Source organism: Homo sapiens, unplaced genomic scaffold (genome assembly GCF_000001405.40).
Source record: "Homo sapiens unplaced genomic scaffold, GRCh38.p14 Primary Assembly HSCHRUN_RANDOM_CTG9".
Lineage (NCBI taxonomy): Eukaryota > Metazoa > Chordata > Mammalia > Primates > Hominidae > Homo > Homo sapiens.
In genome coordinates this window covers 67,588-92,092 of record NT_113889.1, presented here as the reverse complement: position 1 = coordinate 92,092, position 24,505 = coordinate 67,588, and the positions used below count along the sequence as shown (strand labels likewise).

Sequence of the window (24,505 nt, the reverse complement as noted above, 5' to 3'; positions counted from 1 at the left end):
ATACCATTTGACATTTTAGAGATGGCTGCATGCAAACTCTTAAAACATTTGAGTAAGTACAGTGCACCAGGGAGACTCTTATGACTATTGGGATAACACCAAGAATTTGGTATATGCTCCTTACTCAGGGTCCCCATAAATCAAACCACCTAAAATCAAATAGATTAAAGAATGAATTAGATAAAGAGTTTACTTGCTTAACTAAGTGGGTTTTTTTGTTAATTCCCTACAACCAAATCTTTATAATACCCGATGTTTTCTCCATATGCCATGTTAGCAGCTGCACAGATACTTAAGATAAGAGTCTCATAATAGTAGAGAAGTCTTGATCTGTGATCTTGGGAAAAGCTGTTCACATTAAGGATGCCATCTTCTTCTGGGGGGGAACTGTCCTTGTTAGCTTTACCTTAAGGGTTCCAAGGGGTGTATGGTTCCAATTGTGGAGGGACCCTTCTGAGTTGTAAGACTATGAACCCAAAGTTTAAGGTTTTAATGTTTTGCTGTCATGTGAATGGCAAGGGCAGTCCTCTGATGTTCTCAGAAGATCCAGTCATCAGATTCTAGATTGTGAAGGGGTTGGCTGTCCTCTGTGAACCATAAAAGTCTTTCTTTATCTGGTGAAAATACACTTCAGCATAATAATCTACTGTTTTAACATCAACCCTCTTGCATGGAAGAGCTTTTTTACAATCAGAAAACATGCACTGAAAATGACAACTGAATGAAATCCCTTTATAAAATGTTTAAATGGCCCATCAGGTAACCAAATGCACCTGAAGTTTTGATTGTTTTCCTAGGAATATAGGTTTGACAAACCAAACATTGATTATAAACTATTTTAGCAATTTAGAGATCACCACAGCAATATATTTAATTTGGATCATTTTCTCTTTCCATGATGAGTTATGGAATGCAGAACTTTTAATAACAAAAGTTTTAAGGACTTAAGACGGAAAGGTGGCCATCCTGGTTCTTCATAAGTCTGTGCTTAATTAACATTAGACTTACATCCTCTTGAATACCAGCTGTTTCTTCAAATTAGGTGCATGGCACTGGTAACTGATGAGTTATAGGTAATTTGGCTTAGACCATGGAGTTTATTTAAATTATATATCTAAACAATTTCAATATTGGTGATTTAGCATGCAAATCTGGAAAATATTTCCTTGATATTCAATTTTTGTTTTACTTGGGTTAGCAGTTTTATAAACCAGTTGGTCTTCTTATTAAACTTTAGGATTTTTTTTTTTTTGAGACAGAGTCTCACTCTGTTACCTAGGTTGGAGTGCAGTGGCACAATCTTGGCTCACTGCAACCTCCGCCTCCTGGGTTCAAGTGATTCTCCTGCCTCAGCCTCCCGAGTAGCTGGGATTACAGATGCATACCACCACACCTGGCTAATTTTTGTAGTTTTAGTAGAGGTGGGGTTTCACCATTGGCCAGGCTGGTCTCAAACTCCTGACCTCAAGTGATCCACCAGCCTCGGCCTCCCAAAGTGCTGGGATTGCCAACATGAGCCACTGCACCCAGCCTAACTTTTGAGAATTCTTAACCAGTCCAATTATTGGGGGATCGGGAAACTTATGGGGAATTTTTACCCATGATATTAAAGTTATTAGAAACCTGTGTTCCCGAGTGTTTTTCATGGTCCTTTTCATTCTTTCATGAATCTTCTATTCTAGAATTTTGCATGCTTGTGAAGTTTTTAGAAACTGCATCATCATTAAGCAATTAACTGTGGAAATGACTTTAAATAGTTATAGTTAAAGACAATTGATAAGGAAATTTGGTTATTTCTGTGGTCTACAATAACTTAATAACCATAATTAGGGTGGATGTGGTGGCTCATTCCTGTAATCCCAGCTCTTTGAGAGGCCAAGTTAGGTGGATCACCTGAGGTCAGGAGTTTGAGACCAGCCTGGCCAACATGGTAAAACTCTGTCTTTACTAAAAATAAAAAAAAAATTAGCCGGATGTGGTGGCAGTTGTCTGTAATCCCAGCTACTTGGGAGGCTGAGGCAGGAGAAATGCTTGAACCCAGGAGGTGGAGGCTTCAGTGATCCTAGATCACACCATTGCACTCCAGCCTAGGTGACAAGAGCGAAACTCCGTCTCAAAACAAACAAAACAGGTAATTATGATAGATAGCATATAGGCATATTAGAATTTTAGAATCCTGGCCAGGTGCAGTGGCTCACGCCTGTAATCCCAGCACTTTGGGAGGCCAAGGTGGAAGGATCACGAGGTCAGGAGATGAGAACATCCTGGCTAACACGGTGAAACCCCATCTCTACTAAAAATACAAAAATTAGCTTGGCATGGTGGTGGATGCCTGTAGTCCCAGCTACTCGGGAGGCTGAAGCAGGAGAATGGCATGAACCCAGGAGGTGGAGGTTGCAGTGAGCCGAGATTGTGCCACTGTACTCCAGCCTGGGTGACAGAGCAAGACTCCGTCTCAGGGGAAAAAAAAAAAAAAAGAATTTTAGAAATCCTATACAATTTTAGAACGGGTTGATGACATAAACTAAATATAACCTGAAAAAGGTTCAACATTATGTTTTATTTTGACAGTGCTACCCATGTGACTTAACATGTTAAATAGTCCTGTTTACCTCTCTTTTGGGTGCTTCAAGGGCGTCTGTAGTATCCCAAATTTAGAGGTCAGAAAAGACAATTTTGAAGTTGAAATTTGATTTTGGGAAGCCTATTAAATATATTAAAAGTTTAAACACTTGATGTTATGAAATAGAATTCCAGGTCACCGTAAGTCATTCATTTACTTAAAATCATGACTTAAAAAAGTTTTAAAGGGCAAAAATCTTTACTCATTGATAGAGGGAAGACATCTTCACAAACGATCTGCCTCTTGTTTTTCCTTTTTTTTTTTTTGGTAGTTTATTTAAAAGGCAAACAAATTTTTCATTATTTTTTAATATTACCTGAACATCTTCTTTAAAGAGAGAAAGCCAAATGTCACCCACTTTTTCATAAAACCTTATAGACAAACCTATTATTCTTTCTTTTTTTTTTTCAGATGGATTTTCCCTCTTGTTGCCCAGGCTGGAGTGCAATGGTGTGATCTCGGTTCACTGCAACCCCCTGCCTCCCGGGTTCAAGCGATTCTCCTGCCCCAGCCTCCTGAGTAGCTGGGATTAGAGGCATGTGCCACCATGCCCAGCTAATTTTGTGTTTTTAGTAGAGACGGGGTTTTTCCTTGTAGGTCAGGCTGGCCCTGAACTCCTGACCTCAGGTGATCCACCTGCCTCAGCCTCCCCAAGTGTTGGGATTACAGGCATGAGCCACTGCACCTGGCCATTTTTTTTTAAAGATTGCGTCTTGCTCTGTCACCCTCCTCACCACATTATAGCTCTGGGGGCCAAGCTGCATCACAATGGAAAATCATGGAATCACAGGAAGAATCCACTCAGCTTTGCAAGATGCTGCCCAAGGGGTTGCTTGGAGTAACCAAATTAACATTTTTCATTCTGCCCAGAGCAAAATACATGTGACAAAACATAGACACGTGCCACTTTGCTCAGCACCCAGTATCAAACTGGTAAGACTCAAACTTGCTCCCAGATGGGCGGTGCCATCTCTAAATCTTTTTAGAAGCTTCTGCATATTAATAGGCATCCCTAGATGAGACTAATTTGGGAACCCTCATTTTTAAATGCACTTCAGGGCATTATTCATTTGAAATGTTCCACTGTAAGTTATCTTAATAAGATTTTGCCATTTCTGTAAGACTTTGCTGCTTCCCAGGCCTAATGTATTAGCCAGAAGGAGCTTAGTTTTCCAGAAATTAAGGATCCTATTTTTACCTAAAATATTGGCTTTACTCCCAGGTTCCCTTCATTAACTTAGCCAATGATTTTTTTTTCCTGCCTAAGCGTGCGAGAAAAATGAAACAAAGGGGTAGAACACAAAAATCCCTGTGAATTTTCAAAAGCCAAATGTTACAATCTTCCAATATTATCATTTACTACCACTTTCCTTCTGACCCAGTCAGATGTAGGAGGCCTCTAACTGGAACTGGATTCAAGCCAATTAACTACTGGATCAAATCTGATCCTGGACCCGGTCCCTTTTCTGTTATAACTTCTAAAACATCCAGCCAGTCATGGCTGGATAGCAGTTTGGAACAGAAATTTGCTCAAAGAAACTCAGAGCTCAAAACACAAATCCATGGAGCTCTGAAATCCGAGAGAAAATTTACCATGATCTCCAGCTGCTCCGAGAGATCAAAGGACACAAGTGTTACAGAATCCTGAGGTGTCACTTTTCTGCCTGAAACCTCTGGCTGGTGGCACCTTTACCTGTGTTTTGCTCGGGCCCACTGGGTTAGTTCTGTCCACTCAGCTCATGCTAGTGGTCTGGATCCCACACCTGCCAAGGGCGAGCTGGGTACAGAGCAGTGAGGGGTGTGTGAGCAAGCGAGCATGGGATCTGGCCACTGCACACAGCCAAGCATGCCAGCTGCAGTGGGGTGGGCAGCTCCAGGCACAGGTGCCAGCTCCCTGTGAGGCTGCAGCTGGACCAGGCCGACTGCAAACAACTTCCACTGTGGGTATCAGGGAATGCAGTGGCACCCAGAAGCTTGGAGATGCAGGACCTGCAGAGCCCCAAAGAAGGTGTCACAGCCCTGGTTGGAGGAGCTCCTAGGTCTGTGTTCCCTGAAGGGACACAGCTCTTCTCTCCTTCTCTCTTCTCTTCTTCTTGCCTGCAATTTGGCAAGAAAGGATAGCGTTTCAGCCCTGTTTATGTTACACCTCTTTCAGCCCTGCTAGTTGGCAGGTCCTGAGTTCTTGTCCTGAGTCCAGGAAAAATGAGGTATGTGGACAAGTAGAAGGTGAGCAAGGTGAAGAGGTGCTTTATTGAGCCACAGTACAGCTCAGAGGAGACCTGCAGTGGGTAGCTCCTTTCTGCAGGCAGGTCATCCCAACGTCTGTTCAGCTCTCAGCAGCTGAGAGGAGACGCACGGTGGGTAGCTGTGCCCATAGTGCCCAGGCGTTCGAGCTGAGGAGGGCCTTCCGGCCACTGCTGAGCCACTCTTAGCCACACCTCAGCCTCCCTCCTGTGCTTGCCAGTGCCCAAATTCTGGAGGGGGCCGAGGTGGCAGGGGGCTGGCATGTCAGCACTGCCCTGAGCTTGCACAAACCAGGCCAGGTTGTGACTGTGCCCAGGTTTGGCCTCAACTTGGATCTGAATTTGGAGTGGGCTCTGGAAGCAGAGAGACGCCAGGTGGCAGGACCAGGTACAACTGAGCCTGCGGGGCAGGGGGGCTTGCTGGGCCTCTGAGAGTGCAGAGATGCCTGGGTTTGCAGTCATGGCTGGATGGCTGCAGCTGTGCCTGGGAGGGCGGGGCTCCTGCCTGATAATTTAGAAGGGGCAGGTCTCCCACCCATTCCTGGCTCCCACCAGCTCTGAGGAGTGCACAGCCCCAGCCACTCCTCCCCACTGCAGCCAGTGTCTCCATAGCAACTGCTCCACGTGGGCCACTGCTGCCATCACAAATGGGTCCTTTCAGGTTCCTTCCTTGTACCTCAGCACTCTGGGGGTCATTAGAAGGCTTAGCAACACTGCTCACCACAGTATAGCTCCAGAGGCCCTAGCAGTCCTGCTCCCACGGATCCCACTTCTGACACCATCTATTAAAAGAAAATCTTCAGCTGAATTAAATTTAAAGGAGCTTAATTGAGCAATGAATGATTCACGAATCAGGCAGCCCCCAGAATCACAGCAGATTCAGTGAGACTCCAGCACAGACACATGGTGGAAGATTTATAGACAATAAAGGGAACATGATGTACAAAAATCTGAAGTGAGGAGTGAGGTCTAGAAGCAACTGGGTCCATTACAGTTCTCAGCAGTGAGGTCCAGAAACAACTGGACTGGTTACAGTGCTCAGCATTTGCCTTATTTGAACACAGCTGACCACTCAGCAGTGTGTGAGTGGCAGAAGTTTGGCTGTTGGGATTGGCCAGGACTCAGCTACTGTTTTAGGCACATACTCCTAAGTTAGGTTTTCAGTCTTTCTACCTATTAAGTTAGGTTGCAGTTTGTCCACAGGGACTCAAATCTAGAAGTACAGAGTCCTTCCCAGGCCATATTTAGTTCACTGTAACAGTTCCTATTATGACCTCACTGACAGTTCTTTTTCTCTGAATTCTCCTTTCTTCTCAACAGCTTATCCAAATGTTCCATTGGTCCCTGTTCATCTTGCCCTGCAGTTCTCCTTGACTGATTCAGCCCTTTGTGGTTTGCAGTCCTGTTTCTCTACAGCTTGGACCTCTTCAGTCTTTCCATCATAGGTTTAACTCTCTGTTGAATGCTTCTTTGTAGCTATCCAAATTTACCTTAAGCTCAAAAAATTCGAAGTGAAAGCCACATCCTCTTCTCTTCCTTATGTGTATGGCATTACTACCATGCAGCCAGTGACCCAAAATGGGATTTCTTCTGGGCTTTTCTTGCTTAGATTCAGGCTCATCTGGTGTCAAGCCTTGTTGCTTTTGTTTCCTTGTTCTTTTATTTTTATTTTTATTTTTTGAGACAGAGTTTCGCTCTTGTTGCCCAGGCTAGAGCGCAGTGGTGTGATCTCAGCTCACTGCAGCCTCCACCTCCTGGGTTCAAGCAATTCTCCTGCCTCAGCTCCTGAGTAGCTGGTATTACAGGCATGTGCCACCACGCCCGGCTAATTTTGTATTTTTAGTAGAGATGGGGTTTCTCTGTTTTGATCAGGGTGTCTCGAACTCCCGACCTCAGGTGATCCACTCGCCTCGGCCTCCCAAAGTGCTGGGATTACAGGCGTGAGCCACCGTGCCTGGCCTGCTTGTTGTTTTCATCTCATCCTGATTTCCAAATACAGGAGAGAAGCTGAATTGGTGTTCACTAACAAGCACAGGAGCTTTGTTATATTTACAGTGTCATTCTTGGCAAAACCTGAAGGGTGTGTTCGTGGGGTGATGAGGTTCAGTCACCTGTGATCTGTGCATCTGGCCAGCACTGTGGTGACATCCTTAGGAATCCATGGGGAGAGAGAAAGCATTCAGGAGTTAGTGGGTCACGTTTGACAAGGGCCAATAAAGAAATATGCAAAGACAAAAAACAAGAAGAACATTGTCATATTTTCTACCTTTTGTTTATATAAATTTATATCAATGATTTTAGCTTATGTTAATATGCAATGTATATAATATGCTAACATTTACAATATATGTTTATAGTTTAAACATTTCTGTCATATTTTCAGATTCTTTAAAGATTATATTATGCTTCCTATTTCAGATAGCTGCTTAAAATGAGTAAGGAAAAACGGATGTGTGCATCAGTTCCAACTGTTTATGGACTAAAACTAGTTGATTTCTTGGTTAAGAACAAAAAGTGACAACCTAATTAACTGAAAATTTTAAGTGGGCAATTATAGTTTTAGCTTTAACGTAAAATATTAACTATTCTCCAATCTTGCATTTTTAACCTAATACTCAATATAAATCGCCACATGCCATGTTTCAGATCAAGGTTTTACTTGGGATCTCTCATGAGTTTTTCAAGGTTTTAATTATCTGCAATGTAACAATGTACCAGTAACCTTACTGGCTTAAACCAGGAATTTATTCTTTTTACATGTCACAATTTTCTGGGTCAAGACACTGGACAGGGCAATGTGGGTTGGCTGCTTCATGATGTCCCTGGTCTCATCTGGAAGGACTCTAGTGGCTGGGGACGTGAAGCAGGCACCAGAAGGACTCTAGTGGCTGGGGACATGGAGCAGGCACCAAGCCCTCTCTTTGTGGCCAGCACGGACTTCCTCCCAGTCTGGCAGTGTCAGGTAGTCAGGTTTGTCTGGCTTCTCCCAGTGTATGTGTCCAAGAGGCCCAGGCAGAAGCTGTAAGGTCTCTCATGATCATCCCTCAGAAGTCCCAGAACATCTCTCCTGCCACACTGTCCAGTCGTACTCATCACTGAGACCAGCCATGATTCAAGGGGGGAAGGTGATTAGATTCCACCTCTTGATGAGAAGCATAGTAGGAACCTGCAGCAGTCTTTAATAAACCACAGTTTGTCCTCTGGCCACAAACTACTAACGTTTCTCCCACATGCAAATTATGCTTTGCCCCTCTCAAGAGTCCCAGAGTGGTTTTCCTTATGGCACTGGCTGGTAGCCCAACTGAATCCTGAATCAGGTTGTGGTGGCCTGTCACCTGCACCCACACACACTCAGCCGCAGTGAGGACTGAATCAAGTTGTGGTGGCCTGTCATCTGCCCCCCCACACACAGCCACAGTGAGGACTGAATCAGGTTGTGGTGGCCTGTTGTCTGCCCCTGACGCACTCAGCCACAGTGAGGACTGAATAAGGTTGTTGTGACCTATCATCTGTGCCCACACACTCAGCCGCAGTGAGGGGACTGGTGTGAAAACAGTCGGCATTTCCCTGTAGAAGCTGTTGGTGGGAGGCAGGAGGGAGGTGCTGCCCTGCAGGCCCCGTCTAACAGTTGGTCATTACCATGGGGCGCCTGTTACAGTTCTGTGATTAGTGCCCAGTCCAGGTCCCTGAGAACGGCGCCCAGTCCTTGTCCCTGAGAACGGCGTTTGTGTCCTTTTACTCCTCCCTCTGGGCTTTTGTCATTCTCCATGTTCTTTTTCCTTCAGTGCCTGGGTTGCCGTTGACCAACTTTCTCTGCCTTTTTCTTATGGTCAATAGGGTATTCAATGGCTTCTTTATAATTTTTTTTTTTCTTTTTTTTTTCTTTGGCCTTTTGAGACAAGAAATTATTTCTTTATATTTTCTCTAAATTTTGTTTGAAAACTGAACTTCCTTCTTTAGATCATGTCCCTCTCCTGTCATGTTTATTCAGTGACAGTTAGGGGAGGCTGATAGCACTTTCCATGTTCTTCCCAGATGTCTCCTTAGGCAGATCCCTGAGATGGTGCAGTGCCCTTTCAGTTTCCATGTTGTGGCCATAGTTTTCTCACAGTCCCTCAGCACATAACTCTCAGGCCTTTTCCCCAGTTTCCAATGACATTTTCTCACCGTCTTTCAGGCCCTGACCAAGAGTCTTGTTGCCCTTCCAGGTTGCATGAATGTTCTCCTTGAGGCCCAGTTACAGGTCAGCCTCACAGTCGTGGCACATATTGTAGCTTCTGATTACCACAGCGGCTCATTTCCAGCTACAATATTCTGTTCCAGTTATCTATTCTGAAGAAACCATCCCCAAAACTTGGCAGCTTAAAACAACTCATTATTACTTGTTTTTTGGCTTAGAGAGTCTTGGTGGCCAGCTCATCTCACACACAGTTGCAGCCAAGCTGGATTGTGTGAAAGCACAGCGGGGTGGTGTGCAGGGTGGCTCACTAGTGGTTGGGAGGGGATGTTGCTGAAGGCTCACTAGTGGTTGGGAGTCGGTGTTGCTAGAGGGTCAATGGGGGATGTCAATGCATGTAGCTAGTCATGGACTGGCCGTGTGGTTTCCATCATGGGGTCTCAGGGGAGTGGGATTTCCTGCCTGGTGACTGGCTTTCTCCTGGATAAGTGTTCTGTTTTCTCAGCCTGGCTTCTGAAGTCCCCAAATACCACCTTTGTCACCTTCTGTTGGCCAAGCAAGTCAGTAGTCTGGGCAAGGTTTAAGGGGAATTGGTTCTCACAGAGAGAGGAGCAGGAAAGATGTTGTCACCTTTAGTCTACCAGAAATATGATTTTTATAACAAGTTTGTTCCAAATACATTCCAGTTCCCCTTGTGAATACTTTTTTGACTTACAGGGTATTTCAAAGTTTATTACTTGGTTTTCAGACATTTGAGGCTTTTCTGGATATCAATTTGTTGTTGGTTTCTAATTTAATTTCAGGTGTTCAGACAACATACTTTGTATACTATTTCATGCTTGAACATTTTCTCAATTGATCGACAGTCTATCTTGGTACTGCCAAGTACCATTTGGGTCAGGATTTTGTCATTTAGATCCGTATTTTTCCTATATTTTTATCTGGTTGTTCCATCAGTTACTGAGAGAGCAGTATTAATTCACCAGTTATAATTTTGGATTGTCAATTTCCTGCTTTTGTTCTGTTGTTTTTGATTTACATAATTTGAGGCTCTGTGTGTGTGTGTACTTTGTGTGCAATTTGAGGCACAATTTATAATTGTAACATCATCCTCTCTGATTCTTTTATTTTTATGAAATTACCTTGTTTATTTCTGGTGATATATTTTTTTTCTGGAGCCTCTTTCATCTAGTGTTAACATCTCCATTGAAGCTTTTTATGATTAGTGTCTGGATAGCATATTTTTATGATTAGTGTCTGCATAGCATATTTTTTCTCATACTTTGTGTCTTTGTATTTAAATTGTGTCTCTGTGGATGCCATATTGTTGGGTCTTGCTTTCCTCTCAGGTCTGGCAGTCTCTGTCTTAAGTAGAGTATTTGTCCAGTTACATTGTAACTAATCATTGCTAAGGTTGGATTTAGGTCTGCCATTTTTCTACTTATTTTCTATTTGTTTGTTTTTTTTTTTTAAGACAGGGTCTTGCTCTGTCACCGAGACTGTAGTGCAATGGTGCAATGTTGGCTTACTTCAACCTCTGCTTCCCAGGCCCAACCAATCCTCACTGGAGCCCACTGAGTAGCTGGGACTACAGGCGCATGGAAACACACCTGGCTAATTTTTATATTTTTTGTAGAGATAGGGTTTTGCCATGTTGCACAGGCTGGTCTTGAACTCCTGAGCTCAAGCAATCTACCCACCTTGGCCTCCCAAAGTGTTCGGATTACAGGCATGAGCAACCATGTCTGGCCTTCGTCTGTGTTTTGATCTTCTATATATTCTTTCCTAACTTCTTTTGGGTTAAATATTTCTAAATACTCCAGTTTGATTAATATTTTGGCTTTTTGAAATATTTTTTTATAGGCTGGGCATGGTGGCTTATGCTCATAATCTCAGCTCTGAGGGAGGCCAAGGGAGGTGGATTGCTTGAGCCCAGGAGGTTGAGACCAGCCTGGGCATCATGGCAAAACCCTCTCTACAAAAAAACCAAACCAAAATTTAGCCTGACATCTTGGTGTGCACCTGTAGTCCCAACTATTTGGGAGGCTGAGGTGGGAGTGTTGCTTGAGCCTGGGAGGTTGAGGCTGCAATGAGCTGTGATCATGCCATTGCACTCCTTCCAGGGCAACAGAGTAAGACCTTGTGTCAAAAAAGATCATTTTTTATAAATAATTTATTATTTAGAATTTTGGTAACAAACACATACCTTAAAATTTACCGTCGTAACTAGTTGTAAGTATACAGTTTTGTAGAGTTAAGAATATTTACGGTGTTGTGTAGCAGATTTCTAGATTTTTTTTTTATCTTGGAAAACTCTATACCCATTCAACAACTATTAATTTCCCCCTCCTTCCACCCCCTGGCAAGTACTATTCTACTTTGTGTTTCTAAAAATTTGGCTTATATACCTAGGGTTATATAATATTTGTTGTTTTGTAAGTAGGTTCCATGTTATGTGTCAGATGTGTCACGATTTTCTTCCTTTCTATGGCTGAATAATATTTCTTCATATATATATTATATATATATTACATATATATTATATACATACATTATATATATTATATATATTATATATTATATATATATATAATATATATCATATATATATATGCTTTTGTTTATCCACCTATTCCTGGATGGACGTTTTTGTTTCTTCCACCTTGTGGCTGTGTAATGCTGCTGTGAACTTAGGTGTGCACATATCTGTTTGAGGTCCTGCTACTAGTTATTCTGTCTCTGTAGTAGTTGGATGGCTGGATCATATGGTCATTTTATTTTATTTTTTTTTGAGGAGCCAGTTCATATTTCCACCAACAGTGTTCAAGGGTTTCAGTTTCACCTGCGCTTGTTACTTTCTATTGGGTTTGAAGTGATGTCCCATTGTGGTTTCTTTTTGCATTTCTCTAATGACTAGTGATGTTACACATCTTCTCATATATCTCATGTATCTGTTGGCTATTTGTATATCATCTTTGCATCTTTGGATAAATGTTGTTTGTCCATTTTTTAATCACTTTATTTTGTTGTTGGGTTGTAGCGGGGTTTTTTGTCATGATCATTCATTTATCTCACAGTTCATTCTCATTACTTGGGCCAGGGTCATGATCATTCATTATCTCTCAGTTCATCCTCATTACGTTGGGCAAACAGTCATGCTGCAGGGTATAGATTATGTTATTCTGTTACTTTCAGGTAGAATTGGGGTCTAGGTTATAATTGTTTCTAAGTTTAGATTCTGAATGAGAATCAGCAGAGGTAGACCACCACTGCTGGGGCCTGGGGATTGCTGGGAAAAAGGCAGGAAACAAATACAGACCTGACCATGGAGGGTTTGTGTTTCATGGCTCCCATCTGGGTACCCAAGGAACCTACATGTAGGTCGTGTGTGGAGAGCCTACATTGCCCACTCAAAGCAATTGAGGATGGAACAGTCTTGGGGCTGGAGCTCATTATTTGGAATGATAACCACATCTGCACAGAGAGGACCTGATAAGATGTTGTCCTTCCATGTATATCTGGGAATCCTGTGTAGGGTCTCTCTGTAAGGACGGGGCAGTGTCGGCTCCTTGGCCTCTAGTTAGCCTCACGAGTAGTCTAGTAAAGGCTTTGCCAACTTGTCACCATCTGTGGATATTCTGGCCAGCTCTTGTTTTCACCCTACTGACTTCTTCAGACACTAGGCTTTTGCTTTAGACCATTCATGGTTTTTCTTCCTCTTCAAATCAGTAATCAATAAATCCTCTTCAAATCAATAAATTTCCACTCCTTTAGGAAACTCTGATCTTCTGGTCATGCCAAGGTTTAATTAACTGGTTTAATTGTTTTTCTGTTTTCTTCGTTTCTTTTTCTTTCTTCCTTGGGGTTTCTAGTAATTTTAGTTTGATGTCTCACTTTCTCCATTTTTTTATTTCTTAATTTTCTTCTGTGATTATTTTCACTGCAGCTGCAGGGCCTAATCCTGGGTTGGCAGAGAACTAGCACTTACTCTGCCGTAATTGGAATCCGGGAGAGATAGGAGGTGCCCTAGTGTGAAAATGTGTCTGCTCCTCTCTGCTTCTGGTAGTCTCTCTGTAGGAGTACTTTACGTATTCTGAATGTTCACTTCTTATGAGATACATGATGTGCAACTATAGGTTGAATGTCTCTGATCCAAAAATCTGAAATCCCAAATGCTCCAAAGTCTGAAACTTTTTGAGTGCCAACATGACACTCAAAGGAAATGCTTATTGGAGCATCGCAGACTCAGGTGTTTGAATTCGAGATGCTCAACCAGTAAGAATAATGCAAATATTACAAAATCTGAAACACATCCCAAGCATTTCAAATAAGGGACACTCAACTGGTATTTTCTTTTATTCTACAGTTTGCCTTTTACCCTGTTGGTTGTGACCTTTGTGGTACAGAAGTTTTTAGGTTTGATATATTTTTGCTTTTACTGCCTGAGCTTTTAATGTCATATCCTAAAAATTATTGACAAATTCATCATCATAAAGCATTTTCCAAATTTGTTTTCCCTAGGAGTTTGATAGTTCTAGTTTTACAATTAGGTTTATAATTCACTTTGAATTAATTTTAACATGGTGTAAGGTAAGAGTCCAACTTCATTGTTTTGCATGTAGATATACAATTTTCCCAACACCATTTGTTGAAGAAACTGTCCTTCGCCATTGAGTGGTCTTGGCATCCTTGTGGAAGATCATCAGACCATATATGCCAGGGTTGGTTTCTGAGGTCTCTGTTGTGTTGGTCCATAAGTGTGTCAAGTATGTCTTTATGCCATGACCACAATTTTTTTTGGCTTATTGCAGTTTTGTAATTGTTTTGAGACCTTTAATTTTGTTCTGCTTCAAGATTGATTTGCCTATTCATGGGCCCTGGAGATTCCATATGAATTTTAGGATAGGTTTTTCTGTTTATCAAAAATGTTATTGGAATCTTTATAAGGATTGTATTGAATCTAGGTCACTTCGAGTAGTGTTGACATCATTCCAAGATGAAATCATCTAATCTGCAAACCCAGCTTTTCTTTTCATTTATTTGTGTTTAATTTCTTTCAACAGTGTTTTGTAGTTTTCTGTGTTCAAATCTTTTGCCCTTTTGGTTAAGCTTATTTTTAATTTTTATAATGCTGTTGTAAATGTAATACTTTTTTTTTTTTTTGAGATGGAGTCTTGCTCTGTCTCCCAGGCTGGAGTGCAGTGGCACTATCTCAGCTCACTGCAACCTGCACCTTCTTTATTCAAGCGATTCTCCAACCTCAGCCTCTCAAGTAGCTGGGATCACAGGTGCGCGCCAGCACACCCAGCTAATTTTTTGGTATTTTTAGTAGAGACAGGGTTTCTCCATGTTGACCAGGCAAGTCTTGAACTTGTGACCTCAGGTGATCTGCCTGCCTCGGCCTCCTAAACTGCTGGGATTGCAGGCATGAGCCACTGCACCCAGCCAAATGTCATTCTTTTTAAAAATTTCTTTTCTTTTGTTTTATCTTTCTTTTCTTTTCTTTCTCTCTCTTTCTTTCCTTTCTTTCTTTTCTTTGAGATGGCGTCTCACTCAGTTTCCTAAGCTGGAGCGCAGTGGCACAATCTCAGCTGACTGCAACTTCCACCTTCCAAGTTCAAGCAATTCTCCTGCCTCAGCCTCCCAAGTAGCTGGGACTACAGTTGTCTGCCACTACGCCCAGCGAATTTTTGTATTTTTAATAGAGACAGAGTTTTACTATTTATTTTAGAGATGGGTTTGGCCCAGCTGGTCACGAACTCCTGACCTCAGGTGGTCTACCCGCCTTGGCCTCCCAAAGTGCTGGGATTATAAGTGTGAGCCACTGCACCTGGCCTCTCTTTTTAAAATTTTATTTGCAGATTGTTCATTGTTAGTTTATGGAAATGCAACTGACTTGTGTGTGTTACTGTATCCTGAAACTTTGTTGAATTTCATTATTTTACCAGTATTTTGGGAATTTCAGGATTTTTACCCATTACATCCTGTTGTCTGTGAACAAAATTTTGTACTTTTTCCTTTCCAATTTGCATCCTTTTTATTACTTTCTCTTGACTAATTATTCTGAGTAGAAATTCCAGTACTGTGATGAATAGAAGTGGCAGGAAGAGATGTTGTTATCTTATTCCTGATCCTAGAGGAAAAGATTTTAGTCTTTCACCATTGAGTATGATGTTAGCTGTGAGCTTTTCCTGTATAATCTTTATTTACTGAGGAGTTTCCATATATTACTAATTCTTTGAGTGTTTTTATTACAAAAGGTGTTCATCTGGCTCTGGAACCAGATAAACGTTGACCTGATAAATGGATTGGAATGTCCCCTTCTGGTTTTTGAACATTTTTGGAATATTTTGCAGAGGATTGGCATTAATTCTTCTTGAAATATTTGGTAAAATTTTCCAGTGAAGTTATCTGGACATGGAATTTTCTTTTTGGTGGGGTTTTTGATTACTGGTTGAATCTTCTTACTAGTTACAGGTCTCTTTGGATTTTTTATTTCTCCATGATGCAGTATGGTGGTTTGTGTTTCTAGGAATTTATAAATTTATTCTAGGTTGCCCAGTTTTGTGGCATATGGTTGCTCACATTAGTCTCTTGTAATCTTTTTCATTTCTGTGGCATCTGTTGTACTGTCACCTCTTTTACTTATGATTTTAGTATTTGAGATTTCTCTTTTTTCTTAATATAGCTGTGAGTTTTAAAATTTTTATTGATCTTTAAAAAAACAAACTCAGTGTTTTTTTCCTTTTTTCTGGTCTTATTCTGCTTATCTCTGCTCTAATCTGTTATTTTCTTCCTTTTGCTTGGTTTGTCATTAGTTTTTTTCCCCCCCTTCAGGTGTAATGTTAGGTTATTGATTTGAGATCTTTCTTCTTTTTAATTTAAGCACCTGCAGCTATAAGCTTCCCTTTAGCAAGGGTTTCAGATCTTTCTTCTTTTTAATTTAAGCATCTGCAGCTGTAAGCTTCCCTTTAGCATGGGTTTGAGATCTTTCTTCTTTTTAATTTAAGGATCTGTAGCTGTAAGCTTCCCTTTAGCATGGGTTTGAGATCTTTCTTCTTTTTAATTTAAGCATCTGGAGCTGTAAGCTTCCCTTTAGCACTGCCTTTGTTGCCTCCTCCTGAGTTTGGGTATGTCATGGTTTCGTTTTCATTTGCTTAAACATTTTTTGTCCTATTGTAATATAATTGTGTTGTTTTTAATAAAGGTAATTAATGAAACACATAATGAATTGTACTTCTGTTTTTATAACATTTTAAGCATTCTTAACTCAGAAATGTAAATTTTAGAAAAAAATTCCAGGCCAGGCACAGTGGCTCACACCTGTAATCCCAGCACTTGAGGAGGCCGAGGCAGGAGGATCATCTGAGGTCGGGAGTTGGAGACCACCCTGGCCAACATGGTGAAACCCTGTCTTTACTAAAAATAGAAAAAAAAAATATATAAAAGTTAGCTGGGTGTCATGGCGGGTGCCTGTAATCCCAGCTACTCTGGAGGCTGAGGTAGGAGAATCACTTGAATCTGGGAGGCGGAGGTTGCAGTGAGCTGAGATTGCACCACTGCACTCCAGCCTGGGTGACAGAATGAGAGTCTGTCTCAAAAAAAAAGAAAAAAGAAAAAATTTCAGACATATTTATTTGTATTTCAATTTAGAAACTATGATCTCCTAAGTGTATTGACACAGCAACCTGACATAAATATAAAGAATAATAAGCATATAACAAAACGGAAACTTGCAAATACCTGTTTTTTATTAAATTTTAATTATATATATTTAAAAATTGCCAGGTGCAGTGGCTTACACCTGTAATCCCAGCACTTTGGGAGGCTGAGGTGGGCAGATCACATGAGGTCAGGAGTTTGAGACCAGCCTGGCCAACATGGTGAAACCTCATCTCTATTAAAAATCAAAAAATTAGCCAGGCGTGATAGCATGCATCTGTAGTCCCAGCTACTCGGGAGACTGAGGCAGGAGAATTGCTTGAACATAGGAGGCAGAGGTTGCAGTGAGCCAAGATAGTGCCACTGCACTCCAGCCTGGGTGACAGAGTGAGGCTCTGTCTCAAAAAAATAAAAATTGTCTGGGCGCGGTGGCTCACACCTGTAATCGCAGCACTTTGGGAAGCTGAGGCAGGCAGATCACGTCAGGAGATCGAGACCATCTGGGCTAACACTGTGAAACGCCATCTCTACTAAAAATACAAAAAATTAGCCGGGCGTGGTGGCGGGTGCCTGTAGTTCCAGCTACTCCGGAGGTTGAGGCAGGAGAATGGTGTGAACCTGGGAGGTGGAGCTTGCAGTGAGCCAAGATTGCACCACTGGACTCCAGCCTGGGTGACAGAGTGAGACTCTGTCCCAAAAAAATAAAATAAAATAAAACTAAGGTGTGGTTGACATACAAAAATTACACATATTTAATATATACCTTGTGTGTGTGTGTGTGTGTGTGTGTGTGTGTGTGTTATGGAGGTTTTACTCTTGTTGCCCAGTCTGGAGTGCAGTGACATGATCTCAGCTAACTGCAACCTCTGCATCCCAGGTTCAAGCAATTCTCCTGCCTCAGCCTCCTGAGTAGCTGGGATCACAGGCGTGCGCCCCCACGCCCGGCTAATTTTTGCATTTTTTTAGTAGAGACAGGGTTTCACCATGTTGGCCAGGCTGGTCTCGAACGCCTGACCTCAGATCATCCACCTGCCTCGGCCTCCCAAAGTGCTGGGATTGCAGGCGTGTGACACCGAATATATACATCTTAATGAGTATAGAGATAAATATTCGCCCCAGGACTCATCACAACAAATAATACCGTAAACTTGACCATCACCCCCCATATATTTCTCATTCTCACCCTTTTTAAAAAATGAGACCGGGAGTGGTGGCTCACCCCTGTAATCCCAGCAATTTGGGAGGCCAAGGCAGGTGGATCACGAGGTCAGGAGATCAAGACCATCCTGGCTAACACAGTGAAACCCCGTTTCTACTAAAAATACAGAAAATTAGCCAGGTGTGATGGCGGGCACCTGTAGTCCCAGCTACTCGGGAGACTGAGGCAGGATAATGGTGTGAACTCGGGAGGCAGAGCTTGCAGTGAGCCGAGATCGTGCCACTGCACTCCAGCCTGGGCAACAGAGTGTGACTCCGTCTCAAAAAAAAAATGAGATGACCATTTCACCTAAAATATACCCTCTTAAGTATTTTTTTAAGTGTACAATACAGGACGGCCATGCATCAGAGATATATGTGGGTTTGGTTCCAGACCACTGCAATAATTATACAATTTCTTTTTGTTTCCCAGTGCATGTAAAAGTATGTTTATACTGTGCTGTATAAAGTGTGCAATAGCATATGTCTACAAAGTATGCACACTTTAATTTACAAATACTTTATTGTTAACAAGTGCTAACAGTCATCTGAGCCTTCAGAAAGCTGCAATCTTTTTTGTGTGTGTGACAGGGTTTTACTCTGTGGCTCAGGCTGGAGTAATTGCAGCCTCAACCTCATGCTCAATCAAACCCCCACCTCAGACTCCTGACTAGCTGGGACTACAGGTGCATGCCACCATGTCCAGCTAATTTTTGTATTTTTTTTTTTTGTAGAGATGGGGTTTTGCCATGTTGCCTTGACGTCCTGGGCTCAAGCAATCCACCCACCTTGGCCTCCCAAGGTGTTGGGATGACAGGTGTGAGCCACTGCACCTGGCCAAGTTTCAGTCTTCTTGCTGATGGAGAGTCTTATGTTAATGTAAGGTGGTGGTTGCTGAGCGTTGGGGTGGCTGTGGCAATTTCTTAAAATAAGACAACGTTGAAGTTTGCTGTGTCAATTGACTCTCCCTTTCACAAAAGAATTAACTGTAGCATACGATGATAGCTTTTTACCCACAGTAGAACTTTCAAAATTGGACGCAATGCTGTCAAACCTTCGTACGGCTGTACCAACTAAGTTTATGTATTATTGTAAATCATTGGGTTCAATCCTGTCAAGCCTTCCTTCTGCTGTACCAAGTTTATTGTAAATCTGTTGTCATCTCAACATTGTTTACACTGTCTTCACCACGAGTAGATTTCATCTCAAGAAACCACTTTCTTTGCTCATCCGTGGGAGCAACTCATCCTCTCACGTTTTCTCCAGAGGCTGCTGCAGTCTCGCCAGATCTTCAGGCTCTTTCTCTGATTCTAGTGCTCTTGTTATTTCCACCATATCTGCAGTTACTTCCTCCACAGAAGTCGTGAACCCCTGTGTCATCTGTGAGGGTTGGAATAATCTTCCCAACTTCTCTCTCTTTTTTTTTTTTTTTTTTGAGATGAAGTCTTGCCTGGGCTGGAGTGCAGTGATGCGATCTCAGCTCACTGCAACCTCCACTTCCCGTGTTCAAGCAATTCTCCTGCCTCAGCCTCCCAAGTGTTTGGGATTACAGTCACCCCCGACCAGGCCCAGCTAATTTTTTTTGTGTTTTTAGTACAGACAGGATTTCACTATGTTGGCCAGGCTGGTCTCAAATTCCTGACCTCGTGATCCACGTGCCTTGGCCTCCCAAAGTGCTGGGATTACAGGCGTGAGCCACCAAGCCCGGCCCCAACTTCTCCTAATGTTGCTATTTTGATCTTTTTTAAATCATGAATGTTCTCAATGGCATCTAGAATGTTGAATCCTTTCCAGTAGGTTTTCAATTATTTTGCCCAGATCCATCAAAGGAATCACTTTCTAGAGAAGCTATAGCTTTATGAATATATTTTTAAGTGATAAGACTTGAAAGTTGAAATTATTCTTTGATCCAAGGGCACCAGAATGAATGTTGGGTTAGTAGGCATGAAAACAATATTCAGCTCTTTATACATCTCTGTAAAAGCCCTTGAGTACCAGCGGCATTGTCATTGAGCAGTAATACTTTGAAAGGAATCTTATTTCTTGAGCAGTAGTTGTCGACAGTGGGCTTAAGATATTCAGTAAACCATATTTGTAAACCAATAGTCTGTCATCCAGGCTTTGTTCCCATTTGTAGAGTACAGGCAGAGCTGTGTTTTATCATAATTCTTCAGGGCCCTTGGATTTTCAGAATAGTAAATCATCATTGGTTTCAAGTTAACATCACCAATTGCATTAGGCCTTAACAAAAGAGTCAGCATGTCCTTTGAAGCCTTAAAGCCAGGCATCAACTCCTCTCTAGCTGGGAACATCCTGGATGGCATCTCCTTCTAGTAGAAGGCTGTTTTGTCTCCATTGCAAATCTGTTTAGTGTAGCCATCTTAATCAATTATCTTCTAGATAGCTTTCTGCAGTTTTTCCATCAGTACTTGCTGCTTTATCTTGCGCTTTTATGTTATGGAGATGACTTTTTTCCTTAAACCTCAAGAAACAAGCTCTTCTAGCTTCAGACTTTTCTTCTGCAGCTGCCTCACCTCTCTAAGTCTTCATAGAATTGAAGGGAGACCGGGTGCGGTGGCTGTCACACCTGTAATCCTAGCACTTTGGGAGGCCGAGGCGGGCAGATCACCTGAGGTCGGGAGTTCGACACCAGTCTGACCAACGTGGAGAAACCCCGTCTCTACTAAAAATACAAAAAATTAGCCAGGCGTGGTGGTGCATGCCTGTAATCCCAGCTACTCGGGATGCTGAGGCAGGAGAATGGCTTGAACTTGGGAGGCAGAGGTTGCGATGAGCCAAGATCACGCCATTGTACTCCAGCTTGGGCAAGAAGAATGAAACTCTGTCTCAAAAACAAAGAAAAAAAGTAAAAAGAGAGTTAGGCTTAGGCTTAATGGAATTTTTTTTGTTTTTTTTTATCTTCTATCTAGACCAATTAAACTTTCTTCATAACAGCAGCAAGATTGTTTAGCTTTTTATCATTCATGTATTCACTGGAGTAGTACTTTAAATTTCTTTCCAGAACACTTCCTTTGCATTCACAACTTGGTTAAGTGTTTGTTGCATGAGGTCTAGCTACTGGCCTGTCTTGCTTACAGCATGCCTTCATCACTAAGCTTAATTATTTCTTCCTTTTGGTTTAAAGTGACAGACATGCAACTCTTCTTTCACTTGAACATATAGAGGCTATTGTAGGGTTATTAATTGGCCACATTTTAATGTTAATAAAAGGAAGCCTGAGAAAAAGAGAGAGAAAGAGAAATGGCCCATTGGTGGGGCAGTCAGAACAAATGCATTTGTCAATTGTTTGCTGTCTTATCCTGGTGTGATTTGTGGTTCCCAAAACAATGACAACAGTAGCATTAAAGATCACTGATTACAGATCACTATAACCGATTCAATAATAAAAAGCTTAAAATACTGTGAGAATGACCGAAATGTGACACGGAGACGTGAAGTGAGCACGTGCTGTAGGAACAATGGTGCCAGTGAGACCTGCTTATTGCAGGGTGGCCACAAACCTTCAATATGTAAAACACATGGTCACAAAACACAATAAAGCAAAGTGCAGTGAAACAAGATGTGTCTGTCTTTTGATAGACTCTGACAATCTTTATCTTTGAATTGGTACATTCATACCATTAACATTCAAAGTGATTATTGATATCATTGGATTAATATCTACTATATTTGTTACTGTTTTCTATTCATTCTCCTCAGTCTCCATTCTTTTGTCTACCACTCTTTTTCTGCCTTTTGCAGTTTTCATTGATGATTTTAGATGACTACATTTTCCCTGTCTTTCTTAGCATGTACTTCTCTTTTTAAAACTTTTTTTTAACTAGTTGCCACAGAATTTGCAATATACATTTACAACCAATTCAAGTCCACTTTCAAATAACACTATCCCACTATCCCACAAATAAGACTACCTGCTTAACAAACAAAACACTTAATTCCTCAGTAACATTTACAACAAATTGAAGTCCACTTTCAAATAACGCTATCCCACTATCCCACAAATAAGACTACCTGCTTAACAAAGAACACACCTAATTCCTCAATATACATTTACAACCAATTCAAGTCCACTTTCAGATAACACTATCCCACTTCACGGGTGACTACCTGCTTAACAAAGAAAACACCTGATTCCTCTCTCCCATCCTTCCATTCCATTCCTTGTATTATTGTTCCTTATTTCACTTGTGTATAAGCATACATAATCTATCTGTGTGTATTTATTATTATCTACAAACTTATTGGTCAGATCAATTTTGAATAAATACATGTTTTTATTGTACCACAATTCCTCCCTCCCATCCTTCCATTCCATTCCTTGTATTAGTGTTACTCATTTAACTTGTGTATAAGCATACATAATCTATCTGTGTGTATTTGTTATTGTCTATGAACTTCTTGGTCAGATCAATTAAGAATAAATACATAGGTTTTTATTGTACCACAATTCTTTAATGCTCTTTTTAAAAAAATGTTGATCCAGGTTTCAGTTATATATCTTTTGTTTCCCTCTAAAGAATTTCATTTAACATTTCTTGCAAGACAGGTCTCCTGGCAACAAGTTTCTTGAATTTTTATTTTTCTGAGGAAGGCCTTAATTCTCCTTCACTTTTGAAGGGTGGTTTCAGTGGGTACAGAAACTTAGGTTGGTGGGTTTTTTTCTGTCAACATTTTGAATTTTTCATTTCACTGTCTTCTTGCTTTCACAGTTTCTGCATTGTTGAATGCAGTTCTTATCTTTGTGTCTCTGTAGGTAAGGTGTTTTCTGCCCCACCTCTGGTTTCTTTCAGAGTTTTCCTTTATCTTTTATTTCATATAGTTTGAAAATTATATGTCCAAGTGTAGGTTGTTGGCATTTATTCTGCCTGGTGTTCTCTGAGCTTCCTGGATCTTTGGTTTGGTGTCTGACATTAATACTGGAAGTTCTCAGACATGGTTGTTGCAGAACTTTCTTCTATTTCTTCTCCTCCTGGTATTCTCATTACTCTGTTTCACCTTTTGTAGTTGTCCCACAGTCTTGGATATCATCTTCTGTTCTTTTCAGTGTTTCTTTTCTTTAGTTTTCGAAGTTTCTGATGATAAATCCTCAAGCTCAGAGATTCTTAACTCAGCTGAGTCCAGTCTACTAATAAGCCATCAGAGGTATTCTTCAGTTATTTACCACATTTTTTACCACTACATTATGTTGAAGTTTCTTACGATGTCTGTCTTTCTGATTACATTACCCATCTACACTTGAATGCTGTCTACTTCATTCATTAGGCCCTTAGCATATTCTCCAGAGGTTTAAAAAAAATTCCAAAATCATATCTTTGTCTGCTTCTGAAGCTTGCTCTGTTGACACAAATTGTATTTTTTTCTTTTTTTGGATTTTAGTATGCCTTGCAATTTTTTCCCTTTATTCTCATGCATGAAGCACCCACTAAAGGTGACTGCTGTTAGTATACCTTTAGTAATGCGGTGATGAGGTGACAGGGCAGGTGATGCTCTCTTAGTCTCTTTAGGCTACTATAACAAAATACTTTAGACTGAGTAATTCATAAACAACAGAGATTATTGCTCACAGATCTGGAGGCTGGAAAGTCCAAGACTAAAGGGGCAGGATATTTAGTGTTTGGTGAAGGTCAAACATTCAGACACTCGCAACGACTATAGTGACAGCAGCAGTCTTCAGGAATCCTATGTGAGGGAAAAACATTCAGACCACAGCAGGAGTGCTCGGGAATCCTATGTGAGGGACAAACATTCAGATCACAGCAGGAGTGTTGTGGAATCCTATGTGAGGGGAAAACTTTCAAACCCTTGTAGCAGTGTTCTGCAATCCTATGTGAGGGGCAAAAATTCAGAACCTCGTAGCAGTGTTCTGGAATCCTATTTGAGGAACAATCAGACCACAGCAGGAATGTTCTGGAATCCTATGTGAGGGGCAAACATTCAGACCACAGCAGGAGTGCTCTGTAATCCTATGTGAGGGACAAACATTTCAAAACCTTGTAGCAGTGTGCTGGAATGTTATGTCAGGGACAGACATTTAGACCCTCACAGCAGTGTTCTAGAATCCCATCTGCGGGACAAACATTCAGACACTCGCAGCAGTGTTCTGGAATTCTATGTGAGGGACAGACATTCAAACCCCAACAGCAGTGTTCTAGAATCCTATCTGAGGGACAGACGTTCAGACCCCAGCAGCAGTGTTCTGGAATCCTATGTGAGGTACAAACATTCAGACACCAGCAGAAGTGTTCTGGAATCCTATGTGAGGGACAAACATTCAGACCCTCGTAGCACTGTTCTGGAATCCTATGTGAGGTACAAACATTCAGACCACGACAACAATGCTCAGGAATCCTATGTGAGGGACAAACATTCAGACCCTCGTAGCACTGTTCTGGAATCCTATGTGAGGTACAAACATTCAGACCACGGCAACAATGCTCAGGAATCCTATGTGAGGGACAAACATTCAGACCCTCGTAGCAGTGTTCTGGAATCTTATGTGAGGGACAAACATTCAAACCACAGCAGCAGTGTTCTGGAATCCTACGTGAAGGACAAACTTTCAGACCACAGCAGGAGAGTTCT

General features: G+C 41.5%; 1 long non-coding RNA gene and 1 pseudogene across 3 annotated transcripts in view; both read left to right on the top strand.

The window, feature by feature from the left end:
- Nucleotides 1-24,505, top strand: part of LOC100233156 (tektin 4 pseudogene) — a 58,668-nt pseudogene that overhangs the window by 5,365 nt on the left and 28,798 nt on the right. The window lies entirely within an intron of this gene.
- LOC124905310 (uncharacterized) lies at nucleotides 3,059-7,105 on the top strand. Its single transcript, XR_007068494.1, has 2 exons — nucleotides 3,059-3,556; nucleotides 6,187-7,105. It is a non-coding gene; the product is annotated as an uncharacterized LOC124905310 (long non-coding RNA).